Source organism: Homo sapiens, chromosome 9, assembly GCF_000001405.40.
Source record: "Homo sapiens chromosome 9, GRCh38.p14 Primary Assembly".
Classification (NCBI taxonomy): Eukaryota; Metazoa; Chordata; class Mammalia; order Primates; family Hominidae; genus Homo; species Homo sapiens.
Genome location: NC_000009.12, coordinates 128,904,106 through 128,919,599, shown reverse-complemented (window position 1 = coordinate 128,919,599; position 15,494 = coordinate 128,904,106). Strand labels below are relative to the sequence as shown.

The 15,494-nt window shown below is 55.0% G+C and overlaps 1 protein-coding gene and 1 long non-coding RNA gene across 20 annotated transcripts in view, besides 1 other annotated feature; one reads left to right on the top strand and one right to left on the bottom strand.

The window, feature by feature from the left end:
• The window catches only part of LRRC8A (leucine rich repeat containing 8 VRAC subunit A), a 35,907-nt gene continuing 21,973 nt past the window's right edge, over window positions 1,561–15,494 (bottom strand). For all 15 annotated transcript variants that reach the window (XM_047423596.1, XM_047423597.1, XM_011518864.3 and 12 more), the window contains 2 exons: window positions 10,279–12,443; window positions 1,561–3,504 (listed from right to left, as the gene is read on the bottom strand). In XM_047423596.1, the coding sequence (XP_047279552.1) occupies window positions 3,229–3,504; window positions 10,279–12,435 (2,433 nt within the window). In that variant the 5' untranslated portion in view covers window positions 12,436–12,443 and the 3' untranslated portion in view covers window positions 1,561–3,228. The remainder of the gene's footprint in view (window positions 3,505–10,278; window positions 12,444–15,494) is intronic.
• On the top strand, window positions 3,455–10,285 carry LOC101929291 (uncharacterized). 5 transcript variants are annotated; one of them, XR_001746953.1, is made up of 4 exons: window positions 3,455–3,524; window positions 4,559–4,607; window positions 9,362–9,556; window positions 9,660–10,285. It is a non-coding gene; the product is annotated as an uncharacterized LOC101929291 (long non-coding RNA). The 5 variants fall into 5 exon arrangements; XR_007061808.1 differs by having other exon boundaries at window positions 3,455–3,535; XR_007061806.1 differs by having other exon boundaries at window positions 4,559–9,556.
• Window positions 9,075–9,858: an enhancer, noted in NCBI's record as "H3K27ac-H3K4me1 hESC enhancer chr9:131672021-131672804 (GRCh37/hg19 assembly coordinates)". NCBI's record gives its function as "activates a minimal SCP1, AML or CMV promoter by ChIP-STARR-seq in primed H9 embryonic stem cells {active_cell/tissue: H9 hESC(primed)}" and the evidence as "EXISTENCE:reporter gene assay evidence [ECO:0000049][PMID:30033119]".

The following is a 15,494-nucleotide window of genomic DNA, read 5'->3' as shown; positions in this document are numbered from 1 at the left end:
CCGTGGAGGGAGGAGGGATAGACTCTGTCCAGTTGTAGAGGAGGTGCCCAAGCAGCCACCCAGGCCTCATCACTAAGGTCAAAGTCAGATATGATGGCCTTTCTTCCTCACCCAGTCTCCTGCCGCAGGGCGCCCACGTTGGCCCACCACAAGGATCCTTGGTCTGGGTGGAAGATACAAGGCCATTTATTGGGTACTAGCAGCCAGGTCCTCCACCAAAAACCCCATCTACCTACATAATCGCCATTGTTCCTTGAACAGTCCTGCAAGTGTGCCATTACCTTCCTGATTTTACAAATGAGAACACTGAAGCCCCACATCAAACACGGCAGAACTGGCATCTGGAAGCAGCTGTCTCAGCCTCTGCCCTTTACCACACTACCTCCCAAAGGCCCCCAAAGGGGCTGGGAGCTGAGGCAGGCTTCCCCACGATGACTCTCAGCCCCACCTCTGTAGACCACTTGGGACTCACTGTTGGAATTGCAAGGGACCTTTGAGAGCACAGAGTGGAAATTCCCATTGTCCACATGGGGATACAGAGGCCACTGGAGAAGGGATCTGCCTAGCTTCATGCACATCCTGTCCCATGAAGCTGGGACAAAGGCCCAGGACTACTGGTTCCCATTCCAGTGCCCTCCTCTCCCATCCCCACCCATCAAAACTCATGAGGGGCCAAGCACGGTGGCTCACGCCTATAATCCCAGCACTTTAGGAGGCTGAGGTGGGTGGATCTCTTGAGCTCAGGGATTCGAGACCAACCTGGGCAACATGGCAAAACCCCGTCCCTACAAAAAATACAAAAATTAGCCAGCACGGCTGGGCGCAGTAGCTCATGTCTGTAATCCCAGCATTTTGGGAGGCTGAGGTAGGTGGATCAGAAGGTCAGGAGATCAAGACCAGCCTGGCCAACATGGTGAAACCCTGTCTCTACTAAAAATACAAAAATTAGCTGGGCATGGTGGCAGGCACCTGTAGTCCCAGCTACTCGTGAGGCTGAGGCAAGAGAATCACTTGAACCTGGGAGGCGGAGGTTGCAGTGAGCCGAGATCGAGCCACTGCATTCCAGCCTGGGTGACAGAGTAAGACTCTGTCTCAAAAAAAAAAAAAAAAAAAAAAAATTAGCCAGCATGCCCCTGTGGTCCTAGCTACTTGGGAGGCCGAGGTGAGATCACCTGAGCCTGGAGAGGTCAAGGCTGCAGTGAGCCGTGATCACGCCACTATATTCCAGCAGTGCACTCTAGGTGACAGAATGAGACCCTGTCAAAAAAACAACAACAACAAAAAAACCCCCTCATGAGTGCCCAACCACAGGTGAGTAGGATGACAGAGATTGTGCTGGCTATGGGATCCCCAGCCCAGGTCACAGCCTGTTACCTAGCAGGTGCTGCGTCCAGCTTACAAGCTCCAGTAACTGCCTCCAAAGGCACAGAGTCTCATGGGGCAGGAGATGAGCAGAGTTAACTCTCCTGTAGGTGCCCAAGCAACGTTCCACACGGCCCGGCAGGCTTCAGAGAAGTGAGGGAAGCGTCCTCCCATGACACAAAGACCTCCAAAGGCCACTTTCTGTTATAGATTTTATTTGATACTGTGACCGAGTCTACAAGTTCAGACCCACATGTAACGGATTTTTGCTTCATGGTTGTCAGAGGCTAGTGTGCATTATTTCTGAGGATTATATCCAATGACACGACGCAGAAAACACAAATGGACGGACAGACGGATGGACATAATCATTAAGACAAGAGACTCTAAAACGTGCCTTAGTGTCCACGTGATTGATCTAAGGCGGGGACCCTTCTAAGGTGGGGACCCGAGTGATCTAAAGCAGGGTGGCTTCCAGCCACCAGGTGCCGACTGGGCTGTGTGCACTCCAGGCGCCAGGGACGGGAACCGGCTTGGAACCAACGCCTGCCCTCCCAGGGGCGACCTCCCCATTCCCGACCAGCCTCTAAGTGTCTGCTCTTCATGAAGGACCAGGTGGTGACAGGGCTGATGGAAGCAGCGGAGGCCAGCGGTGGCACTGGACACACCCATGCCGCAGGCGGTGGGGAAACAAAGTCTGGGCGAAGTGGCTCCTCTTGGCTCCTTAACACTGTGCGTGGAGAGGCAGGGCAGGCACGAGGAGGGGAGGTGCGAATGGAGCACCGTTCATCCGGGGATTAGCCAACCCGAGTCTCCTCCCTCCTTGGCAGCTCCAGAACATTCCCTCTGGCCGACAGCCACAGAAATGAGTGCCTGCCAAGACACATGGAGGAGAAAGAAAACAAGACACCAAAAAAACCCAAAAAACAAACAAAAAAACCTCCCTCCCCAGGAACAAATAGAACTCCTGGACCAAGGTCACACCAGATCCGGAAGACACCCTGCACCCTGCGCCCAGGGAAAGGAAACACAGTTCAACGTCTGGCTGCTTTGCTCAAGGGAAACTGCCACCCTGCCCTGAGACTCCAACTCACTGGCCGTTAGTGTCTTTTTTTTTTTAAGTTTTTTTTTTCTTTTTAATACCCAAACCATCCATTTTCAAAGCTTTTTTTTTAAAAAAATTGTTTTTTGATTAAAAAAAAAAAAACAAAAAACTAAAACTGCCACAAATACTGAAGAGGCAAGCTCCAGGCCTGGCCTTTCCAGCTGGAGGCCTGCTCTCCCGTGGACCGCACCGCAGAGCCCAGCCCGGCACTGCTGGGTGACCGTCCCATGGCTGGTTCGCCCCGGACCACTCTGCTGAAGTCCAGGTGGGTGTTAAATGCCCGGCGGCATCGCTAAATAAGGACAAGGGGAAAAGGCAGCCCACCTTTCCCTGAACACCTTCCATCTGGGCTGAACTTTCTTGGGAATGTATAAGTTATCTGGATGAAGGAGGTGGGAGATGGAGAAAAATAAATACCAAGAACTAAAGTGAGGGTCCCAGGACCTCTGGTGGCAGCTCAGCCCCTGGGGCAGAGCTGGCCTCCAGGGAGGAGACCCTGATTATCCAAATACTGCGCTCTTGAGACTTGCTCTCCTCCACAAGCACTTGCCCTGGGGGACGTGAGTCTCAGAGGGAGAAAAGGGGCCAGCCCCACAGATACTGTCCTCTCGCTCTGGCCTGACTCACAAGCGGCCCCAGGCTCCTGCCCAGCCACGAGGCTGTCCTGGCTGTCCGGGAGTTCTGGGAGAAGCTAGGCCTGCCCCTCCGGGCCTGAGGACTGGGCAGCGGTCCTGCTGCTTGCTGTGCTGGGCCGGCCTCGCTCAGGCCTGCTCCTTGTCAGCCCTCCACAGCCGCTCCTTCACCTCGGGTGGCAGTGTGTTGAACAGGTCCTCCTCCACCACCAAGCCGCTGCGCTTGAGCAGTGGGCACTCGCCCAGCTCCACAGGCAGGCACTCCAGCCGGTTGCCCCGCAGCTCGATCTGCGTCAGGTTGGTCAGCTCGCCCACCCTGGAGGGCAGTGACTGCAGCACGTTGTTGCCCAGGTGCAGGGCCCGCAGCTTCCGGCACTGGAAGAGCTCCGGAGGGAGCGTCTCGATCTGGAGGGAAAAAAGCAGGGGTGAGAGTGAGGTGGGTGTGGGCTTGGACGGGGCCTCTGGGCTTCCCTTCCCTCTCTCCCCAAGATCTCAGCATCTTTTCTGATCCCCAGGCCCCCAGCATCAGCACAATCTGGGCCAAACTCTGGCCAACATCTGCCTGTGCACCAGGTCTCAGCTCTTGCTCACTTCCTCCAGGAAGCCTTCCCTGATCTCCTGGGTCTCATGGCCCCCATGTCCCCACTCGCAGTGCTCATCCTTCCATCTGTTACCCCCTTGATGTGGGCTCTAAGGATGAGACCTGCCTGCCTCGATCCCCACTATCTTCCAGCACCTGGCCCTGGGAAGTATATCGCATTGGCCAGCTGCTCCCACCTCCATCCCAGGGCTCACCAGGAGCCAGGCTGTTGGTTCTGCCCAGCTTAACAACAATTTATGAAAGCAAAACAGCATGCTGAGAAAATCCACCCCCTAGGCCGGGTGCGGTGGCTCACGCCTGTAATCCCAGCACTTTGGGAGGCTGAGGCGGGCGGATCACGAGGTCAGGAGATCGAGACTATCCTGGCTAACACGGTGAAACCCCGTCTCTACTAAAAATACAAAAAAATTAGCCGGGCATGGTGCCGGGCGCCTGTAGTCCCAGCTACTCGGGAGGCTGAGGCAGGAGAATGGCGTGAACCCGGGAGGCGGAGCTTGCAGAGCCGACATCGCGCCACTGCACTCCAGCCTGGGTGACAGAGTGAGACTCCATCTCAAAAAAATAATAATAGCCTCAAAGCCTAAGTGTACTATGCTTAATTTATAAATTAAACTTTATCATAGGTACCTGTGAATAGCAACGAACAGAACATATAGGGTTCTGCACTACCTGCAGTGCCAGGCATCCACGGGGGACCTTGGACCACATTCCCTGAGGATATGGAGCAATTACTGTTAACAGACGACACCCGTATGCAGCTTAATGTGTGGCAGGCTCACTGTGAGCACTGATACTATTAATTTATTTAACCAGCAAACTACCTATAAATATTCTGTCAATACTCTTCCAATTTTACAGATGGGGTAACTGAGGCCCAAAGACGCTGACTTGTCCAGAGGTTCAGCTGGTAAGTGATGGAGCCAGGATTTGAACCCGGTTCAACAGCCCATGCTCTGGTGAACCGTCCACACTGTTAGCGGAGCAAGGAGCAAACAGGGGGCTGCAGTGGGTTCGTGCTGTCTCCTGGCACACAGGAAGAGCCTCACGTATGCCAGCTTCTTCCCTGCCCTGCTGCGAGGAATCAGCTGGGGCCATGAGTTCTTACTGCGTGTAAGTAAGGCCATGAGTTGAGCCTGCCCGTCCCGAGGCTGCCTCCTTCAGATGGGATGGGCAGGAGGGCAGGAGCCAGGAGCCCTGGGCCTTGATCCCAAGTGAGGATGATGGGGAGATGGCACAGCAGCCCTTCTGAGCTTGCTCTATCACCGCCCCCATTTTCCTGCCAAGGAGACTGAGGCCCAGAGAGATGACACGCCACTCGTCTGAGGTTGCAGCCTCTCCGAAAGGGTCAGGAGAGGATGTACGTCTTATTTCCTCCCACTCAGAGCCCATGCTGTATTTCCCTTCTGCCAAATATGGCACTCAGTTACAGGGTAACTCTGGAAGTCCCTCCCTCTCTGGGCCTCAGTTTCCCCATTTGTAAAAGGCACAGGTTGGACTAGAAACTGAGCTTGGACACTCTGTGGCTGAGGACCGTTTTGCAGACTCGGACCTCAACCTCACGGGCACCTGCTCTCTCCAGCCGCGTTTAGAGAAGGGCCCAGGAGTTCCTGGGGAGCAACGTGGCTTTCCCAGCAGGGAGATAAGCATGGCCAAGGCCCGGCAGAGTGCTTTTTCTTTTTTTTTGGGGGGCGGGGGCGGGGGACGGAGTCTCACTCTGTCACCCAGAGAGTGCAGTGGCGCAATCTTGGCTCACTGTAATCTCCACCTCCCAGGTTCAAGTGATTCTCCTGCCTTAGCCTCCCGAGTAGCTGGGATTACAGCCGCATACCACCATGCCCGGCTAATTTTTGTATTGTTTGCAGAGACGGGGTTTCATTATGTCGGCCAGGCTGGTCTTGAACTCCTGACCTCAGGTGATCTGCCCGCCTCGGCCTCCCAAAGTGTTGGGATTACAGGCGTGAGCCACCATGCCCAGCCCAGGCACAGGGGGTGCTTTCAAAAAGGCTCCTAACCTGTGTATCCTACACTGCCACCACTGTGACCAAGGATCAGGAATGCATTTGGGGTTGGCTTTGAGGTCAGCAGGGGCTGAAGGTCAGAGGGTAGACAGGAAGTGGGCTCTGGAGCACCCAGGGGCCAGAGCCTTCCCAGAAAGACCCCACTCCCACCCCGTGATCTCCTCTGCTGACACATGCAGTGGTCAGGGACAGTGGGAAAGCTCTGGACAGCGAGTGGCAGAGCTCGGGTCCATATGGAGCCTGGCTCTGGAGCCCCCTCCCTGAAAGGCCTCCTCCCCAGAACATGCCCTGCTCTGAGCCAGGGAGCCCTCTCCAGGCCCCAGAGAGAAAAGGGGAGGTACTCTCAGTTGCTCGGCTCCCACCACAGCCACACCCATCCTCTGGACCGATCCTTCTCTGCTGGATTGTCGGATTGTCGCCGGCCCGTGCCCTGGAGGCTTGAAGTTGGTTCCCAATCCCCCAATTGCACCCTCTCCTACCTCCCCAGAGACTTCAGTGGGTCCCCATCGGCACTGAAAGGCCTCAACTCGACCTGATCTTTGAAAAGGACAACTCTCTCAGGAGGCTTCCAGGGCCCCAGCGTTGTCCTTGGCTCTCTGGCCTTCCTGACCAACTGCAGGAAAGCCGCTGTCTCTCTCCTCACTCTGCCTCCATGACCCTGTCCACCCTTAACTCTCTGGCCAAAGTCACCAGTTCCTAATCCAGCCAACTCCCCAGGCCCCATGTGCCCCACGCTCTGGCCTCGCCCTCCTCTTCTGCAGACTCCTGTCCTTCTCCCTCTCTGCTCTCCACAGTGAGCAAGTCAAGGACCCATCTTCACCCATGAGCCTGGAAAGGGTGACTCCTTGGGCTTCAGGTGGATTCAAGATGGTCCCTTGGACATCCCAGAGCCCCAGACACCTGACATGAGACACACCTTGGCCTCTGAAAACCTGTGCTTCCTCCAGTCTCAACAATCCACAAAAAAAAGCTCAAGTCACTCAGACCACCCCCACCATCAACTCCCGTCCCTTTGAATTCCCCCTCCAGCGTCTCCCAGATCCGTCCATGTCTCTCCATCCCTACCTGCCTTGGCCACGCCAGGCCCCGTGGCCTCACCTGATGGCTAATCGTGGTCTCTTAACAGCTCTCTTCCACCTCCCACCTCTCACTCACCCCACCCCACACACTACCGCAAGAGGAACCTCACGCTGCAAGTCAGCTCATTCCTTCACCCACTCAATCACTAGGAATTCGGTAAACACTTGCTTGAACAAAAGAGCTAGGTCTTAGTCATCAGAGCCTATGGGCTGGCAAGGGATCGGCTGTTAAACAAATGAAGAGACAATTGAAACTGAGGTGTAGGACAGGACCCCCCTGCCATCCACACCCCCCCCCATAGCCCCACCTCTGCTCTCCAGGATGCCCACATTCCTGGGCAGCCCATCTCACTGCTCCTCCCCACCAGAACCTCCTGGACTGTCCCTTTCCCCTCCACCTGGCTTCCTCCTCCTCGTTCTTCAGGGGCCTGTTCCTCTGTGTTCCCAGGGACCTGGTGCTCCAGCAGAGCGCCTACGCACTGTGCTAACTGCCTCGTTACTTGGCCTTCTTCATCCCCATGTCCCCGGCGCCTTGCTCCATAGCTGGATTCTAGAAGTGCTCAAAAAACATCTGCACAAAGGCCAGGCGAAGTGGCTCATGCCTGTAATACCAGCACTTTGGGCGGCCAAGGTGGGAGGCTTTGAGGCCAGGAGTTTAAAGACCAGCCTAGAAAACACAGTGAGACCCTGTCTCTACCAAAAAAACAAACAAACAAAACATAACAATTTGCACACATCAGTAAACGAGTGAACGAATGAATACTGTCTTGTCAAGGCTTTCATTAGCAAGAGTATAAATCTGGAGAAACAGCACGCAAGGGCGTGGGCAGGCCACGCCCACCCCTCCTGGTCACCACTGGCCAAGGTGGCTGAGAAGGAGCCATCAAGCCCGAGTGAGGAGGAAGAGGGGCTCAGGCCTCCCACTCAGAATGAGGGGCCTGCCTGGGGTTGGCCCAAGTGAACTGTTTTCCCTATTAAGGCTCTGGTGTTCCAGGGGGTGGGGACAGGATGTGATTAAGCCATGTGCTAAACAGGGTGTCCAGAGGGTCTCCTTCCTCTGGGACAGCGTGCTTGCCGCCAGCTCCTTTCCTGAGGGGTGACCTCAGCCAGCAGGCATGACACTAACAGGCAAGCTTGGCGGGAGGAGCTGGGGGTGGGGGACAGGATGGGGAGCCAGGCTGGAGGCTTGAACCCTCCCCCAACCAGGAGGACAGCCCCAGCACAGCACCCGGGACAGGGCAGGAATGGCAGGAGCTGTGAGGAAGTCCCAGCTTATCAAGGGCAGCACTGTGCTATGGGGAAGCCACAGGGTCTCCCCCTCCACAGATTAAAGAAGGGCTGGGTTTGTTCTGTGCTTCCCAAATGTGGCTTCTCCCCAGGGGACTCCAGTTTTCCTATTCAGTGGGCCTGTCCCGAAACTACAAGAGAAAACCCTGCCCTGGTCCACTCTCCCACTGTGCTCAAGTCATAATATGGGGTGGCCGGAGATAAGGACTTGTCAAAATCCCTGATACATGTGGGTTGCAGGTTGCTCTGCAGTAAGGGAGCCCTGGGGAAGAGGGGAGGAAGGCTTCCAAGCCAGCAGGCATCTGGAGGGCCTGAAGCATCTAGTCTGAGTGATGCTGGAGAAGGTGTGTCCTGTCCTGGGGCCCAGGAGGACAGACAGGGCATTCCAGGGGCCACCTCCCTCCGTGCCTGAGGATACTATAGACAGACCGGGCATTCCAGGGGCCACCTCCCTCCGTGCCTGAGGATGCTATAGACAGACCCTGTTGGGAGGACTCAGCAGGTTGGTGGAAGGAGGACAGGTGCATCATGCCTGGCACAGGGCGAACACAGAGCAGGTGCCCACGAAACCAACAGGGACTGCACCGTGGGGCTGCTGCATGGCAGATGCACCCAACAGCAACAACCGAACTAAGAAACGCGGGTTGCCACACGGAGGCTGCAGAGGGGAGGGTGCTTAGTGAAAATGCTCTATGAGCTGCACGCTTTTTATAAGCAGGAGTGGTTTTCCTATTTGGCTCACTGCTGCTGGACCACCCTGTAAGTAAGTTCCCCCAAATAAACCCCATGTTTCAATGGCCGGCTCCAGGGCTCTTCATTTTACTTTGAGACTGGGTCTCACTCTATTGCCCAGGCTGAAGTACAGTGGTACAACCATAGCTCACTGCAGTCTTGAACTCCTAGGCTGAAGCGATCCTGCCTCAGCCTCCCAAATAGCTGGGACTACAGGCACATGCCACCATGCCTGGATCATTTCTGTATTTTTGGTAGAGATGGGGTTTCCCTATGTTGCCCAGGCTGGTCTCGAACTCCTGAGCTCAAGTGACCGCCCCACCTTGGCTTCCCTAAGTGCTCGGATTACAGGTTTGACCCACTGGGCCTGGTCAACTCCGAGTCTCTTCTTCAGCCTCCTGAACCTGGTGGCATCCCTAGTGAAGTTCACAGGGGCCCGGCACGACAGCTGCTGCTGTGTCGGGGGCAGAAGGGTGGCTGGCTGGGCTCTCCCTTGTCTCCCAGCGCCTGGCCTCAGGCTTCCTCCACCACATGTCTCACTACAGGAATCTCCACCTGGATGTGAGGCCCAGGAAAACCTGCAGGTCCCCAGGACGGGTGGAAGAGGGACGTTCCCCACAATGGCAGTGGCTTTGTTTCCATTTCGGAGGCCAGACCACAGAGCCACAGGAGTACCCAGCCCTCCATCCACACTGCCTGCCTCCACCAAGGGGCCCTTGGATGGGGGCTTCCCCAGCCAGGTAAGAGACTGGCACCCACAGACCACCAACAGTCTTGAAAGTATGTCGAAGGTGTGGCCTCCCAAACTCCCAGTGACAATGATTTGCACAATTTCCTTTTCAGAAGGGCAGGCAGAAACAAACTAGCCCCATCTAGGCCCAACTCTGCCTCTGACACCACCAAATGCAGTGGAGAAAGGTGTGTGGGAGCTGCAGAGACCATCCAAGGCTTCCCCTCAGCCAGCACTGGCCACCCACACAGTTTCTGTCCTGGGTGGACCCGGATTGGCTCCTTGCCTCCAAGTCCGACTGGGAACAAGCTGAGGAAGACACAAACTCCAGGCTAAGTCTTGACTCCCACCACCCGGCTTTGCGAGAGAACCCCCGGGTTTGGACCTCCTGCCCAAGCACATCCCTGCTGAAGAGGAACCCGGCTCAAGGTCACCTTGGGGGACAGACCTTGCCTGGCCATGCAGTCTCTCCAGGCAGGAGAACTGCAACATTTTGGAGCAAAGACAGGCCCGGGGCCCAGAGATTCGGATTCAGCAGGCCTGGGATGGGGCCCAAGGAGTCTGTCTCTTGAACAGAGCTTCTATCCTGGATGGTTCTGTAAACCCCAGGTGAGGACTCCACACTCAGGGGCATCGACGGTCCCAGGACACTGAGCCTGCCGAGTGCCCCACCACAAGCCCTGGCCAGGCCACCCGCCAGCCCACACGCAGAGCTGTGGCCGGGCCACTCACCCGGTTGGCCGTGATGGCTAGGTTCTGGAGGTTCTGCAGGAGGCCGATGTCGGCAGGGAGGAAGGTCAGGTTGTTGTGGCTGAGGTCCAGGTAGCGCAGCTTGCGGCAGTAGAAGAGCTGGGTGGGGATCTTCTCGATCTTGTTGCGGTTCAGGTAGAGGCGCTCCAGGTTGGTGAGGTTGCCGATCTGGATGGGGATGTAGGCGATGTGGTTGTACCACAGCTTAAGGCAGGTGAGGCGGTGCAGGTGCTGGAAGCTGATGATCTCCTCGATGGTCTTGAGGTTGTTGTCCTTGAGGTCAATCTCCTGCAGGTTGTGGAGGCTGAAGATGGAGTGGGGGATGCGCTCCAGGTCACAGCGGATCAGCTCCAGCTCAGTCAGGTTCGCCATCTTCTTGAGGCTGTTGAGGACGATGAGCTTGGTGCCCTCATTGTTGATGGACAGCTTCTGCAGGTGCACGCCCACATCTGTGACCACCTGTGGCAGCTTGCTTAGGTTGCTCTTGAGCCGCAGCACCTTGAGGCGTTTGAGCTCCCGCAGCCCGTCGATGACGATGTAGCGGTTGTTCTCCGCGCTCAGGTTGCCCGTCAGGTGCAGCTCCTCCAGTGTCTTCAGGCTATAGATCCACAGCGGGATCTCCTTGATGTCGGTGAACTTGATGTGCAGCGCCCGCAGGTTCTCACGCAGGAAGGCCAGCGCGGGCGCTTCAATCTTGGCCGCTGTGTGGTAGAGCCACAGCTCCTTGAGGCCCGTGAGCTGGGCAATGCTGGGCGGGATGGTCACGTCGGGGATCAGCTCCAGCTTGAGGACCTCCAGCTCCACCAGGTCAAACACAGTGTCAGGGATGCCACTGAGCATGAACAGGTGCAGCTCCAGCTTGTCCTGCGCGTTCTTGGTGAGCCGCTGCCGGAGCTTGTCCAGCGTCCACTCGTTGTTGAGGTTCAGCTGCCGCAGCTTGTTCTCACTCACCTCCGACAGGAAGACGGCGAAGCGCTTGGAGTAGAGCGGGTCGTATTGGTCAATGAGGTGCAGCATGAAGGCGAAGTCGTTCTTGACGTCGGGGATGTCGCTGTAGCTGCTCTCCTCACGGATCGACTCAAACGAGTACTTCTTGAGGGAGCGCCGTAGCATCCACCACAGTGTATACATGCAGATGAGGCCGTAGAAGATGACTAGGCTGATGTAGAAGGACGCCAGGATCTTGAAGAGTGTGGCCAGGGGGTGGGCACAGCGGTAGGTGCGGTAGCCCGTCAGGCTCTCAATGTCCACGGTGCAGTCCACGTCGAACTTGATGTTGTGCACGTAGTAGACGGTGTAGCAGATGATGAGGATGAACTTGATCACCTTGATGATGGTCTGCCGCATGTAGAGGCGGTACACAATGTCCCCCTCCTCCACATGGGTCCGGAACTTCTTCACCTTCTCAAACAGCGCCTTGGCTTGCTCCCCCTCCTTCTTGTCCAGCACGCCCGTCTCTGAGCGGTCCACGATACCCTGCTCGATCCGTGACTTGGTCCGCTGCAGCATGGGCACGGTGGCCTCCACGTCCTCACTGACGGTCGATGACTTTTTGTCCATGGACCCATTCATCTTGCTGAAGGCCGGCTTGGGGTCGCTCTCCTCCACCACTGTCTCCGACAGGGCCCTCGTGGTCCAGGGCGAGTCGAAGCACTTCAGCAGGATAGACACAAAGTGCTCCAGCTTCGAGCTGGTGCGCGGGAATTTGAACCAGAAGTTGCTGCAGGCCAGGAAGATGAGCGTGTGCAGAAGCACCAGGTAGGGGAAGTACTTGGCAAACCAGTGCAGTCGGTTCTCATAGCACACAGCGTCCACGTAGTTGTACTGGTGCCGGTCCAGGTCATACTTGATGCCTGTGGGGCCCGTGTCAGGGGTCGGCAGAATGGTGGAGTTGGGGTAGGTGGGCTCCGGGCCAGGGGCTGCCCAGCCCCGGAACGAATCATTGCAGGAGTCCTTGGTGACCCACTTACAAGGCAGGCAGATCATCTTGTCTTGGGTGACCTGCAGCGTCCCCCCGAAGACGGCAATCATCAGCATGACGATAGAGATGTAGTCTGTGAACACATCCCACCACGGCTTCAGGATCCGGTATGCTGGCTGCGTGTCCGCAAAGTAGCGGAGCTCTGTCACCGGAATCATGGTTCAACCTAAAAGGGAGCCATAGGAGGGGGGTTAGCACAGGGTGGCCTGGCTTTCCTAGGACCAGGGGTCAGGGGAAGAAGACAATGAAAATTCTTCCATTGTCCAAAATTCCACCTCAAATCTAGCTGGGAGCCAAAGCCTGCCTACTCCACGGGGCAGCCCACTTATCAGCCCTTCTGCAGAAAGCATGTGGCCACTTGGCTGGGAAACCACCCTGGGGGAGGCAGGCAGGCTCCCCATTTAATACACAGGAAGACTGAGCACAGTGAGATTAGACAGATCCCCAGTGCAGCCTCAGGGTTCTCTGCTCCATCCCTTGCATTCCAGTAAGAGCAATCGGGAACTCCTTTCTAAAGTCCACCTATTTAATGAACAGATTGACCAGAGGGACACATTTAAAACTCCCAGTTCACTGGGAACCAGCTGCTGTAAAGCTGCAGCAAAGGGCTGGAGGGATTCCCGCAAAATATGAGGAAAGAAAGCAACATGCAGAGGGGGCACAACATGAACTCACTTCCATAAAACAAAGAGCAAGGTTTAAAAATTCCACGTGGTTCACGTCTGTAATCCCAGCACTTTGGGAGGCCGAGGTGGGTGGATCACCTGAAGTCAGAAGTTCAAGACCAGCCTGGCCAACATGGTGAAACTCGGTCTCTACTAAAAATACAAAAATTAGCCTGGCGTAGTGGCGGGTGCCTGTAATCCCAGCTATTCGGGAGGCTGAGACAGGAGAATCACTTGAACCCGGGAGGTGGAGGTTGCAGTGAGCTGAGATTGTGCCATTGCACTCCAGCCTGGGCGACAAGAGTGAAACTCCAACTCAAAAAAAAAAAAAAAAAAAAAAATTCCACATGGGGGCTGGCATGGTGGCTCACGCCTGTAATCCTAGCCTGTAATCCCAGCATTTTGGGAGGATGAAGTGGGAGGATCGCTTGAGTCCAGGAGGTTGAAGCTGCAGTGAGCTATGACCCCGTCGCTGTACTCCAGCCTGGGTGACAGAGACCCTGCTTCAACAACAAAATTCCACATGTGTGTATAGTTATGTGTGTACAAGATTCTGGGAACACTCGGAAGACCAAAGGTCACATAGTGGGTCTTAATGACAGGCTCCTAGGGGAGCGGCCTCAAGAGAGGGGATTAAGAATAAGGCTCTCCTCCCTCACAAACTGGGTGATCACAGAGAGGCCTTAATGTAAAATCATCTCTGGTTGCGTGTGTATAAAGGAATTAAAAACAGCAGCAACAGCAGGCTCTCCCAGAGAGAGTCTAGTTTGACTACTATGGCGAGAAGCTGGAAATCTGATTTTTCTTTTTTTTTTGAGACGGAGTCTTGCTCTGTCGCCAGGCTGGAGTGCAGTGGCATCATTTCGGCTCACTGCAACCTCTGCCTCCAGGGTTCAAGTGATTCTCCTGCCTCAGCCTCCCGAGTAGCTGGGACTACAGGCCTGCACCACCATGCCCAGGTAATTTTTGTGTTTTTTAGTAGAGACAAGGTTTCACGATGTTGACCAGGATGGTCTCGATCCCTTTACCTCCTGATCTGCCCGTCTCAGCCTCCCAAAGTGCTGGGATTACAGGAGTGAGCCACCGTGCCTGGCTGGGAACCTGATTTTTAACACATAACTTTGGTGACTCTAATGATTGGCCAAGCTTGGGAAACACTGGCTGAGAAGCCACATTAGGAAACCCAGACTGTGCTACACAGGAGGCACGCAGCAAGATCTCTGTGAGAATGCCTCTCTGTGGCCATTCGTGGTCACACGGCCAAGGCTGGTTGCTCTTACAATGAAAGACGTATGGCTGTCACGGAGGGATAAGGTACTAGATGTTCCCTGGAGAACATACGGAAAATTGTAAAAAAGCGTAGCAGCAAAAAAAGAAGAATCCGCTTTACAATCCCCACCAGGGTTACACACTGTTAACTTTTCACTGAATAATAACCTTCCAGTCCTTTCTGTGTATTTTATAATTTTATAATTTTTCTTGTAAGAGATTGGATCTTGCTCTGTTGCCCAAACTAGAGTGCGGTGGCGTGATCATGGCTCACTGCAGCCTCAACCTCCTGGTCAAGCAATCCTCCTACCTTAGCCTCCCCCAGGTAGCTGGGGCTACAGGTGTGTGCCACCATGCCTGGCTAATTTTTTTTTTTTTTTTTTTTTTTTTTGAGACGGAGTCTCGCTCTGTTGCCTAGGCTGGAGTGCAGTGGTGCGATCTTGGCTCACTGCAAGCTCCGCCTCCCAGATTCACGCCATTCTCCTGCCTCAGCCTTCCAAGTAGCTGGGACTACAGGCACCCGCCCACCACACCCGGCTAATTTTTTTTTGTATTTTTAGTAGAGACGGGGTTTCACCGTGTTAGCCAGGATGGTCTCGTTCTCCTGACCTTGTGATCCGCCCGCCTTGGCCTCCCAAAGTACTGGGATTACAGGTGTGAACCACCATACCTGGCCCATGCCCGGCTAATTTTTAAAATTTTTTGTAGAGACAGGATCTCACTATGTTGGCCAAGTTGGTTTCAAACTCCTGGCCTCAAGCAATCCTCTGGCCTTAGCCTCCCAAAGTGTTGGCATTACAGGAGTGAGGCACTGCACCCAGCCCTTTCTGTGTATTAGAATAAATTGTGCTTTTATTTATTTATTTATTTAGAGACAGAGTATTGCTCTGTCACCCAGGCTGGAGTGCAGTGGCACAATCTCAGCTCACCACAGCCTCCGCCTCCTGGGTTCACATGATTCTCCTGCCTCTGCCTCCCAAGCAGCTGGATTACAGGCACACGCTACCACGCCCAGCTAATTTTTGTATTTTTAGTAGAAACGGAATTTCGCCACGTTGGCCAGGCTGGTCTCGAACTCCTGACCTGAGGTGATCCACCTGCCACGGCCTCCCACAGTGCTGGGATTATAGGTGTGAGTCACCATGCCTGGCCAAATTGTGCTTTTACTTTACATTCAATTTTTACTTTACACTGTAACCCAGAACCTAGATTTTTATCTAAACCAAGTTTTAAATGCCTGTGTCAAATGTGTCTGTCTCTCTTAGGAGAGGAACAGGGGTGCC